The sequence below is a fragment of the Homo sapiens genome, chromosome X (genome assembly GCF_000001405.40).
Source record: "Homo sapiens chromosome X, GRCh38.p14 Primary Assembly".
Taxonomy (NCBI): Eukaryota; Metazoa; Chordata; class Mammalia; order Primates; family Hominidae; genus Homo; species Homo sapiens.
In genome coordinates, this window is record NC_000023.11 from 64,313,879 (window position 1) to 64,326,123 (window position 12,245).

The following is a 12,245-nucleotide window of genomic DNA, read 5'->3' on the forward strand; positions in this document are numbered from 1 at the left end:
TCATAGTTCTTGCACTCATTTTTATCAGCTGATGTTTCTTCAATCTTTGAAGTCACTGTCCTTTGGATGTTTTTAAATTTTATTCTATTTGAGGACCTTGGGGTTTGATTGTGGCAAAAGGTGGGTTCAGTTGACTGGGTTCATTTCTGGAAGATTTTAGGAGGCCAAGCCTCAGCTCAGGACTCCGGAACTCCATGTGCTAACTCTGGATGACTGCTATCAAGCCTCTGCTTTGTTCTTTGGCTCCTTGAAATTATGAACCTGCTGTGCTAGAAGGGCCGAGGTGCTCACAGACCGCTGGTCACTACACTCTAATGAGTGGTAACAGCTAAAGTGTTTCATAGGGTGATGGTAGTGGGATTCATCTTTGTTTGCATGTGTCAGCAGTGGTGGCAGTGGCAGCACAGCGGGGTGCATGCTTGTTTGCTGCAGCAGGGTGCTAGGAGGTGCCAGCATGCCTGCCTCCATGCAGGCATTCACAGTAGTGGCGGTGGAGGCTCAGGAGGGCAGAGGCCTGACTGGTGACTGTGTGTGTGGTCCTGCTAGTGGTGTTAGCATGGGGGTAGGGCACTGGTGGGTGCAGGACTGTGTCCACCCTCTGTGCATGTTTATGCAGGCTCAGGGCAGGGGAGGGTCTGCTAGTCTCTGTGCCTAGTTTCACTTGCAGGGGCGGAACTGCCTGGCTTTGTGCCTGCCAAGGCTCCAACTGCAATGGCGGTACAGCAGCGGTGGAGGGTAGAGAGTTGTAGTGAACTGCTGCTGGCAGCAGTGGCACAGCATGGTTCAGTGCATATATGTGCTGGCCAGGCAGGGAAGAAGGCAAGATTGGCCCCACGTACACATGTGCGGTCAAGGCAATGTGGGAAGTGGCCCTGGGCCCACAGGAAGCTGTATTGTGGGTATCGAGTGGGTGGGATGGTACGTGACCTCGGGGGCCACCCTGCTATAGCTCATCAGCAGTCAGGTGCAGTCCACCAGCTCAGAAGCTATGATGCAGACCCCCAGGGTACCAAGACTGCACTGCAAACCAATGTGGCCAGGCTGGGGCCCTAAGAGAGGCCAGAAGACCAAGGGGTGCACAGATCAGACTGGCCTGAGTGATGGACAAGACCACCCTGCAGAGTTCAGGCCCACTAGTTCCCCTAAGACTAAAGTCTACTATGACAGCAAGTCGAGTTAGGGGGATGGGCATCCCTGGCTCTGCTCCAATACAGATGTTCCTGCACCAAGCCCTCTGTGCTCCACAACTGGCTGGCATGCTGCCCCTAACACTTCTCTAAACTTCTCTCCCTGCCAACTCAAGTGTCCATCATGGTCTGGGGGTCTTCTCCTGCCAGGATTCCAGAGGCCCATGGCAAGAGAGGGTTGCTCCTTGCCAGTTCAACTCACCCATTCCCCCATTGTTGTTAGGAGCCAGTAACAAGTCCCAGGCATGGTGGCCCCGTGCAGGGTCCCCAGCTTCCTCCAACTTCAGCCCAGCTTCTGTGTCTTCCCTCTGCCTACTCTCAGTGCCTTCCCTCTGCCCACTCTCAGTGCCTTCCCTCTGAAGATCTTCTAGGAGTGCACTAGTTGTCCCAGTTCCCTTGGTGGCAGCTGTTCCACCTGGCTGTGTCATCAGCCATCTTGCCCAAATAAATTTCTTCTGAAGTCTATTTAATCTGATACTATGTGATATGGCCTCTGCTGCTTCCATTTATGTTTTCATAATGCTTCTCTTTCCATCCTTTTTTTTTTACTTTCAACTTGTCTATTTCATTATAATTGAAGTGCAATTATTGTAGACAGCATATATTTTTTATCCACTCTGCTAATTTTTTTCATTTAATTGGTGTATTAAGATCATTTACATTTAAGATAATTATATATGTTAGAGCTTAATTCCCCATGTTATTGTTTTTGTTTGTTCAATCTGTCATTTCTGTTTTCTTGTCATGCCTTCCTGTGGGTTACTTTTTTACAATTTCATTTTGATTAATCTAAAGTGTTTTTGAGTGTATCTCCTTGTATAGGTCTTTCAGTGGTTTCTCTAGGCAGTATATTATATGTGTGCCTATACATACTCTCTCTGTGTGTCCGTGTATCATCGTGTAGTGGTGTCAGCATTTTATAAGTTTGAATGAAGTCTACAAATCCTCCTTCCTTTTACATCCCTTTTCCCTCCCCTATTTATAATATAATTATCTTAAACATTTCCTCTCTATACATTTAGAATCATATCAGATAGCGTTATAATTTTTGCTTCCACTGTCATACATTTGAGACAATTCAAGAGGAGATGAAAAGTCTATTGTATTTATACATATTTCTATTCTTTCCATTCTTCTTTCTTCTTTTCTGATGTTCCAAGATTCCTTCTTTTATCATTGCCATTCTCTTTAGAGAACTTCCTTAAGTCTTCCTTTTAAGGTAGGTCTGCTGGTGACAAACACGTTTTATTTCATCTGAGAATATCATCATTTCTCCTTCATTCCTAAAGAATATTTTTGGGCCAGATGCAGTGGCTCACACCTGTAATACCAGTACTTTGGGAGCCCAAGGTGGGCAAATCACTTAAGCTCAGGAGTTCAAGACCAGCCTGGAGAATGTGGCAAAACCCCAACTCTGCAGAAAATACAAAAATTAGGTGGGCATGATTGGTGCATGCCTGTTGTCCCAGCTACTCAGGAGGCTGAGGCAGGAGGATCATTTGAGCCTGGGAGGTCAAGGCTGCAGTGAGCCATGATTGCACCAATGCACACCAGCCTGGGTGACAGAGCAAGGCCCAGTCTCAAAAAAAGACTATTTTCACCATTTATAAGATTTCGCATTGATATATTTTTTTTGGCACTTAAAAATGTGCAACTTCCTTCTGGCTTCCATGATTTCTGATGAGAAATCCACTGTCATTTAAACTGTTTTTCCCCTATAAGTAAGGTGTAATTTCTCTCCTGCTGCTTTCAATAGTTTGTTAGGCCAGGTGCAGTGGCTCACGGCTGTAATCATAGCACTTTGGGAGGTCAAGGAAGGTGGATCACTTGAGGTGAGGAGTTCGAGACCAGCCTGGCCAACATAGCAAAATCCCGTCTCTACTAAAAAGACAAAAAGTTAGCCAGGCGTGGTGATGTGTGCCTGTAGTCCCAGCTACTCGGGAGGCTGAGGTGGGAGGATCACTTGAACTTGGGAGACAGAGGTTGCAGTGAGCCGAGATCATGCCACTGCACTCCAGACTGGATGACAGAGCGAGACTGTGTCTCAAAAAAAAAAAAAAAAAAGAATATTTTAGTTTTCACAAATTTTGCTATGATGTATTTTCATGTAACTTTATTTGGGGTTTATCCTGTTTGATGTTCACTCAGCTTCTCGAATCTATACGTATAAGCCTTTTGCCATACTGGAATATTATCAGCCATTATTTATTTGAGTGCTTTTTGAGGTTTTCCATCTTTCCTCTTTCCTTCCAAGTTTCCAATTATACAAGTGTTAGAACTTTCATTATTGTCCCACAGACCCCTGTGACTCTGTTTATTTATTTTTTTCGTCAGTTTTCTCCCAGACTGGGTACTTTCTATTTTTATATCTCAAGCTCATGTATTCTTTCCTCTTTCCCTTCCACTCTGCTGTTGAGCTGATCCATTTAGTTTTCTTCATTTCTATATTATTCATTTGAATAATTTTCATTTGGTTCTCCTTTATATCTTGAATTTCTTTGCTGAGACTTTTTTCATTTGTTTCAATCAGGTTTGCAATTGTTTCTTGAGGCATCGTAATGATGGCATCCATTGACTGCCTTTTTTCAGTTGTTAGTTTCCTTGTTCTTGGTCTGATGGCTGATTTTCAACTAAAACCTAAATATTTAGGTAATTTTGTGAAGAGACTCTGGATTGCATTTAGATCTGCTGTTTTAGCAGGCTTACTATAAAACTGTTTTGGCAGGGGATAATAAAGAAGGAGGAGTGCCTCCTCATTATTGCCAGGTGGGAATGTAAGTCAAGGTTCTCCATTTAGTTTCCACTGACACTTGAGTTGGGGAGGTGCCCCATAGTACTACTGGGTAGAAGTGGGGATTCAGGCCCCCCACTCAGTCTATGTTAATAACACCCTAGCTGCATTGGATAAAAGTGGCTCATTGCTTTTCCCCATGTGACCTCCAATGACAACACAGGGCATGGACACATTAATGCTAGGTGAAAGTCCAGACTCTCCACTAGCCTTCCTCTGATCATATCCAAGTGGGGAGGGGAAGAGTTACCTTATTACCACTTAGTGGAAGTCCAGACTTTCCATATGGTCTCCACTGACACCTCAGGAACAGAAGTGTCTTTTAGGGATTTAAATTCCAACTCCCCACTTGGCTTTTTCTGACACCACCCTGGCAGGGGGCCATTTGGGTATTTTGTGATAGCTTGATGAGGCCAGAAATCTAGACTCCTGACATGGCCTTTTCTGGCTAAGTAGAGCCATAGTGTTTTCTGTAGTATTTGACATAGAGCAGTTATTTTCTCAAGTTTTCTGTGTTACTAGGCTCTTTTCTGGTCCTTTGGCTAGAAAGAGATGGCTTCTATTTGTGGCTTTTTTTTCTGTTCCCGTGTTATGTATGGGTTGCCAGCTTCTTCAGCTCCAAGTCTGGGTTATATGAGGCAAAAAGAAAACCCATGAAACTCACAATCGTGTTGTTCCTTAGGTCCTGTGGACCCTAGTCAATCTGCCTTCTACTCTGAATTTTTCATGATGGGTTAATATTTGTTTCATAATGTCCATGGGCTTTAGTTTTACTTAGTGGGGGGAGTAGGAAAAATATGTTGACTCCATCTTCCCCTAAAACTAGTTTGTTTGGTTTGGTTTGGTTTTTTGTTTTTTTTTTTTTTTTTGAGATGGAGTCTCCCTCTGTCGCCCAGGCTGGAGTACAGTGGTGCAATCTTGGCTTACTGCAACCTCCACCTCCAGGGTTCAAGCAATTCTCCAGTCTCAGCCTCCCAAGTAGCTGGGGTTATTTTTGTATTTTTAGTAGAGACGGGATTTCACCATACTGGTCAGGCTGGTCTCGAACTCCCAACCTCAGGTGATCCACCCGCCTTGGCCTTCCAAAGTGCTGGGATTACAGGCATTAGCCACCACGCTCAGCCTAAATCTGGTTTTTATATCTTAAGGAAATGCAGAATTTCTGGCACTACAGTTGTCAATAAGTACATGTAAACTACCTTCGCTTCACTGAGAAGTTCCCATTTGAAATACTCAAAGCTAAAAAGAATAATTGGTGGCAATGAAAAATACCTATCATTGGTGATATCACCAAAAATGGTGGAGTAGGGAACTCCGTACCTCCATGAAAGCAATAACTAAGCAGGAAGAAACTATAAGAATAAACATTTTCAAATTCTAGAATCTAATTTAAATAAACTTACACCAACTACAAAAACCAGGGAAATGCTTAGTTAAAAAAAGAGACTACTTTGTCAGATGAGTAGATTGCAAAAATTTTCTCCCATTCTGTATGTTGCCTGTTCACTCTGATGGTAGTTTCTTCTGCTGTGCAGAAACTCTTTAGTTTAATTAGATCCCATTTGTCAATTTTGGCTTTTGTGGACATTGCACTTGGTGTTTTAGATATGAAGTCCTTGCCCATGCCTATGTCCTGAATGGTATTGCCTAGGTTTTCTTCTAGGGTTTTTATGGTTTTAGGTCTAACATTTAAGTCTTTAATCCATTTTGAATTAATTTTTGTATAAGGTGTAAGGAAGGGATCCAGTTTCAGCTTTCTACATATGGCTAGCCAGTTTTCCCAGCACCATTTATTAAATAGGGAATCCTTTCCCCATTGCTTTTTTTTGTCAGGTTTGTCAAAAATCAGATAGTTGTAGATATGTGGCATTATTTCTGAGGGCTCTGTTCTGTTCCATTGGTCTATATCTCTGTTTTGGTACCAGTACCATGCTGTTTTGGTTACTGTAGCCTTGTAATATAGTTTGAAGTCAGGTAGCGTGATGCCTCCAGCTTTGTTCTTTTGGCTTGGGATTGACTCGGTGATGCGGGCTCTTTTTTGGTTCCATATGAACTTTAAAGTAGTTTTTTCCAATTCTGTGAAGTAACTTATTGGTAGCTTGATGGGGATGGCATTGAATCTATAAATTACCTTGGGCAGTATGGCCATTTTCACGATATTGATTCTTGCTATCCATGAGCATGGAATGTTCTTCCATTTGTTTGTATCCTCTTTTATTTCGTTGAGCAGTGGTTTGTAGTTCTCCTTGAAGAGGTCCTTCACATCCCTTGTAAGTTGGATTCCTAGGTATTTTATTCTCTTTGAAGCAACTGTGAATGAGAGTTCATTCATGATTTGGCTCTCTGTTTATCTGCTATTGGTGTACAAGAATGCTTGTGATTTTTGCACATTGATTTTGTATCCTGAGACTTAAGAGACTACTAAATTTTGGTAAGAGAGTGATACAACATGCTGACTTCCCTCTCTGCCATCCCCTATTCCCCAGCTTAGTGGCGGCCTTGGAGATGGTAGTCTACATTACTGATGTGGCTCGCTGCTGCAAGGGAAGCAATATACATCTTCATCTCAGAAAACTATGGTTATATATTTTGGCCTGCCTGGTAGCTCCCTAAGGTATGGGCTCAGGACCTTGACTTTATTTTGCCCACCTTGGAACTTTCTCAGAGCTAGAGTGGCCTTTTTCATAATATTTGTTGAAAGCACTTAAAGGCAAATGTACTAGCCACAGCCAACTGAGGCAAGGGATAATAGATGGAGCAAGCAGCAGACAGAATAAAAAGCCTGGGAAGGAAAAGGCTGGGGAAGCAGATACATGAGAAAAAAAATGCTCTGGAAAGCTCCTGCAAATATCAGGGAATGTAGGAGGTCAGATACATGCTGAGGGTCAGACCTATTCTCAGAAAATATGTGAAAAGACCCTAAGCTTTCACCTGTGGCTTACTTTTAAGCTCTACAGAAGCAGGACATGGCTAAAATATAAGTGGCCCAGCTAAGCATTGAAGATAATACACCAACAAAAAGCCAATCTGCAAAGACTAGGAGAACTATTGTTATTTTTCTGGAATTTAAGGAAATCTCTGCGAAATCACTATCTGAGAACTAAGCTAACTGACAGAGAATTCACTGACTACATGTGGCAAATAACACAACCTTTACAAACATAATTTAGAAAAGCTACTAAACTAACAATTACAACCCACAACAAGTAGCAACAAAAAATCCTAGAGAGAGGTAAAAATCTGATTTCTACCACATTATAATATTGAAACTACCCAGTTTTCAACAACAACAACAAAAAATTATGAGGCATTCAGAAAAAAAACAAAAACGTATGCCCCATTCATAGGAAAAACAATTAATAGAAACTGTTTATGAGGAAACCCAGATATTAGACTTGCTAGTCAACAAATTTAAATCAACTGTTTTAAATATGCTCAAACAGCTAAAGGAAACCATAGAAAAATAACTAAGGGAAACCTGGAGAATAGTATCTCACCAAATAGATAGCATCAATAAAGAGACAGAAATAATAAAAACAAAACAAAACAGAAATTTTGGATATGAAAAGTACAATAATTGAAATGAAAAACTCACTAGAACAGTTAAACAACAGATTTCAGCAGGTAAAAGAATGAATTAATGAACTTGAAGATAGGTCCATTGGGGTTACCCTGTCTGTGAGACAAAAAGAAAGAAAAATGATGAAAAGAGCCTCAGGGTCCTGTAGAAGATTAGTAAGCAGACCAATAAGTGCACAGAGAGAGTCCTAAAAGGATAGGAGTGATAGAAAGGAGCGGAAAGAATATTCCAAGACATAATGACAGAGTATGTCACAAATTTGATGAAAGACATTAATCTACATATCTACAAAGCTCAATAAACTCCAAGTAGGAAAGCTTTAAACTTTTCCCTGATGAATATAGTATTACCTGTGGGTTTGTCATATGTGGTCTTTATTGTATTGAGGTACATACTTTCCATACATAATTCGTTAAGTTTTTATCATGAAGAGATGTTAAATTTTGTCAAATACTTTTTCTTCATCTGTTGAAATGATCATAGGGTTTAGTCCTTCATTCCACTAGCATTCTGTATCACATTTATTGATTTGCATATGTTGAGCCATTCTTGTATCCTTGGGATGAATTATGTTTTTAACGTGCTGTCGAATTCTGTTTGTTAGTATTTTTGTTTTTTTTTTTTTGAGGCAGGGTCTTGCTCTGTGACCCAGGTGGGAGTGCAGTGGTGCAACCATGCCTCACTGCAACCTTGATCTCCTAGGCTTCAGTCATTCTCCTGCCTCATTTTTTGATTTTTTTTTGTAGAGACGAGGTCTCACTATGTTGCCCAGACTGGTCTCAAACTCCTGGGATCAAGTGATCCTCCACGTTAGCCTCCCAAAGTGATGGGATTACAGGTGTGAGCCACCATGACAAGGCCCTGTTTGCTTGTATTTTGTTGAGGATTTTTGCATTCATGTTCATCAGGGGTATTGGCCAGGGATATTCCTTTTACTGTTATGTCCTTCTCTGGTTTTTGTATTAGAGTATGCTGTTTTTATAGAATGAGTTTGGATGTATTGTCTCCCTTCAATTTTGTTGACTAGTTTGAGAAGAATTGGTATTTGTTCTTTAAATGTTTGGTAGAATTCAGCAGTGAGGCCATTAAGTCCTGGGCTTTTCTTTGATTGGAGACTTTCTATTATGGTTTCAATTTAATTACTCACTGTACACCTTTCCCTCACCAAAACCCAAGCTGCAGCTATACAGTGCCATCTTGAAAACAGAGCCACAGCTAGCATGTATCCTGCTCCAAGAGCCAGCAATAACTGCATCTTTTCATTGCTGAAGCTGCACTGCCATTACACCACCTTAGTGGTGGTGCACCATTCCCCAGCCAAGCTGTTACAGCACTCTATCCTCTGAGAATAAGCTGCCTAGGAAGGGCTCTGTCTTGCACATTCAGGTGACTGCAGCAACCAACCCTAGCCTCTCAGAGCCTAAGTCCACTGCTCCAGCACAAAGGCAAGTGGTACTCTGTCCCTAGAGGAATAGGTAATCTTGCCAAGTAAAGAAACTGAGTACTGCCCAGTGATGTGCACAGTCAGCACACTCACCAGCCAGGTTCACTGTCCATGTGCAACCCTGTGCGCTCACTAGCCAGGCATGTTGCTTCCAGGTGCCCCTGCCCCAAGTTGGTGATTTGGCCCCCGTGTGACAATGGCATACCAGCCAGACATGTTGCTTCCATGGAGCCCTGCCCCAAACTGGCAGACTTCTGCTGCCTACATACTTACCAACCAGGCATACCAATTCCAGGGGGTACCTGCTCAGAGTGACAGGTACACTGAAAGTGAAGAGATGGAAAATGATATTCCATGCAAATGGAAACCAAGAGAGAGCAGGAGTAGCTATAATCATAACAGATAAAATAGGCTTTAAGGCAAAAACTATAAAAAGAGAAAAGAAGTTCATTATATAATGAAAAGGAGTCATTTCCACAAGATGATACGAAAAATTTTAATATGTATACACCTAACACCAGAGTACCCAAGTAAATGAAGCAATTATTATAGATCTAAGGGAATAGACTGCAATAAAATAATATAAGGAGACTTCAGCATGCCACTCTCAGCAATGGACAGATCATCCAGACAGAAAATAAAGAAACATCACATTTAAAGGACACACTAAATCAAATGGACCAAGCAAACATTTACAGCATATTCGACCAAACAGCTGCAGAATAAACAGTCTTCTCAACAGAACATGAAACTTTCTCTAGGACAGATCATATGGTAGCCTGTAGAACAAGCCTTAACAAATTTAAGAAAACCAAAATCATTTCCAGTATATTTTTTTTTACCACAATGGTATAAAACTAGAAATCAGTAACAACAGGAACTTCTGAAAATTCACAAATACACATGGAAATTAAACAACATGCTCTTATATGACCAACAGGTCAATGAAGAAATTAAAAGGAAGTCTAAAAATTTCTTGAGAGAAATGAAAATGGAAATACAGCATACCAAAATCCTTGGGACACAGCTAATGCAGTTCTAAAAGGAAATCTTATAGCAATAAATGTCTACATTGAAAAAGAAGAAAGATCACAAATAAAAACCTAACAATGCACCAAAGGAATTAAACATTTTAAAACCCAAGTAAACCTAAAACTAGTAAAAGGAAAGAAATAATAAAGAGTAGAAATAAATGAAAGTGCCCAGGCACAGTAGCTTATGCCTATAATCCCAGCACTTTTGGGGGGGCCAAAGTGGGAGGATCACTTGAAGCCAGGAGTTTCCACCAGCCTGGGCAACAAAGCAAGACCTCATCTCTACAAAAAATTAAGATTAGCCAGGTGTGGTTGCATGTACCAGTAGTCCTAGCCACTTGGGAGGCTGAAACAGGAGGATCATGTGAGCTCAGGAGTTTGAGGCTACAATGAGCTATGATTGCATTACTGTACTGCAGCTTGGTAAACAGAGTGAGATCATATCTCAAGAAAGAAAGAAAATAAAGAAAAGAGAAGAGAAGAAAGAGGACGGACTTGGTGGCTCACACTTGTAATCCCAGCACTTTGGGAGGCCAAGAGGGAGGACTGCTTGAGGCCAGGAGTTCAAGACCAGCCTGGGCAACATAGTGAGACCCCCATCTCTACAAAGAAATTAAACAACTAGCCAGATGTGGTGGCATGCACCTGTAGTCCCAGATACTCAGGGAGCTGAGGCAGGAGGATCACCTGAGCACAGGAGGTCAAGGCTGCAGTCAACCATGATTGTGGCATTGCACTGCAGCCTGGGTGACAGAGCAGGACCCTGTCTCAAAAAAAGAAAAGGAAAGAAAAGAAACCCAAATCTTATAAAATGGCCCTACCCCTATCTCCCTTCGCTGACTCTCTTTTCGGACTCAGCCCGCCTGCACCCAGGTGAAATAAACAGCCTTGTTGCTCACCAAAAAAAAAAAAAAAAAAAAAAAAGAGAGGTTTAAAATAAAATAGATCAATGAAACAAAGAGTTGTTTTTTTGAAAAGATAAACAAAATTGAGATGCCTTTAGCTGGCCTAAGAAAAAACAGAGAAGATTCAAGTAAAATTAGATACCAAAAAAAGAGACACTACAACTGATGCTACAGAAATAAAAAGCATCACAAGACAGTATCAGGAACAATTCTATGCCAGAAAACCCAGATAACCTATAAAAAATGGATAAATTCCTGGTCATATACAACCTTCCAAGATTAAAGAATGAAGAAATAGAAAATCTGAACAGACCAATAGTGAGTAATGAAATCAAAGCAGTAATAAAAATCTCGCATCAAAGAAAAGCCCAGGACTTGATGGCTTCACTGCTGAATTCTACCAAACATTTAAAGAATGAATGCCAATTTTCCTCAAACTAGTCGGCACAACTGAAGAGGAGACAATATTTCTAAACTCATTTTATAAGGATAGCATTACCCTGATAGCAAAGCCAGGCAAGGACACAATTAAAAAAGAATATCCCTGATGAACACAAATGCAAAAATCATCAACAAAATACTAGCAAACAGAATTCAATAGCACATTAAAAAGATTATTCACTATGATCAAGTGGAACTCATCCCAGGGATGCAAGAATGGCTCAACATATGCCAATCAATAAATGTGACACAGAACACTAATGGAATGAAGGACAAAAACCGTATGATCATTTCAATAGATGAAGAAAAGGCATTTGACAAAATTAAATATCCCTTCATGATAAAAACAATACATTATGTATAGAAAGTATGTACCTCACTACAAATAAAAGCCACATATGACAAACCCACAGCTAACACCATATTGAACAGGGAAAAGTTGGAAGCTCTTCCTTAAGATAGGGAACAAGACAACAATGCCTACTTTTACCACTTCTATTCTACTTAGTATTTGAATTCCTAGCCACAGCAATTAGGCAAGAGAAAGAAATGAAAGCTATCCAAATTGGAAAGGAGGAAGTTAAACTATCCCTGGTTGCAGATGACATGAGTGTATACAGTTGGCCCTCAAACAATACCAGTGTTAGAAGTGTCAGACCCTTGCACACTGGAAAATCAATATATAAGTTCTTACTTACCAAAAACTTAACTACCAGTAGCCCACTGTTGACCAGAAGCCTGATCAATAACATAAATCATTGATTAACACCTATTTTGTATATTATATGTATTATACACTGTATTCTTATAAGTTAAGCTAAAGAAAAAATTATTATTAAGAAAATACATCTACTATTAATTAA

At 40.8% G+C, this 12,245-nt stretch overlaps 1 protein-coding gene across 1 annotated transcript in view; it reads right to left on the reverse strand.

The window, feature by feature from the left end:
- The window catches only part of MTMR8 (myotubularin related protein 8), a 127,372-nt gene that overhangs the window by 45,798 nt on the left and 69,329 nt on the right, over positions 1 to 12,245 (reverse strand). The gene's annotated exons all lie outside the window — the stretch shown is intronic.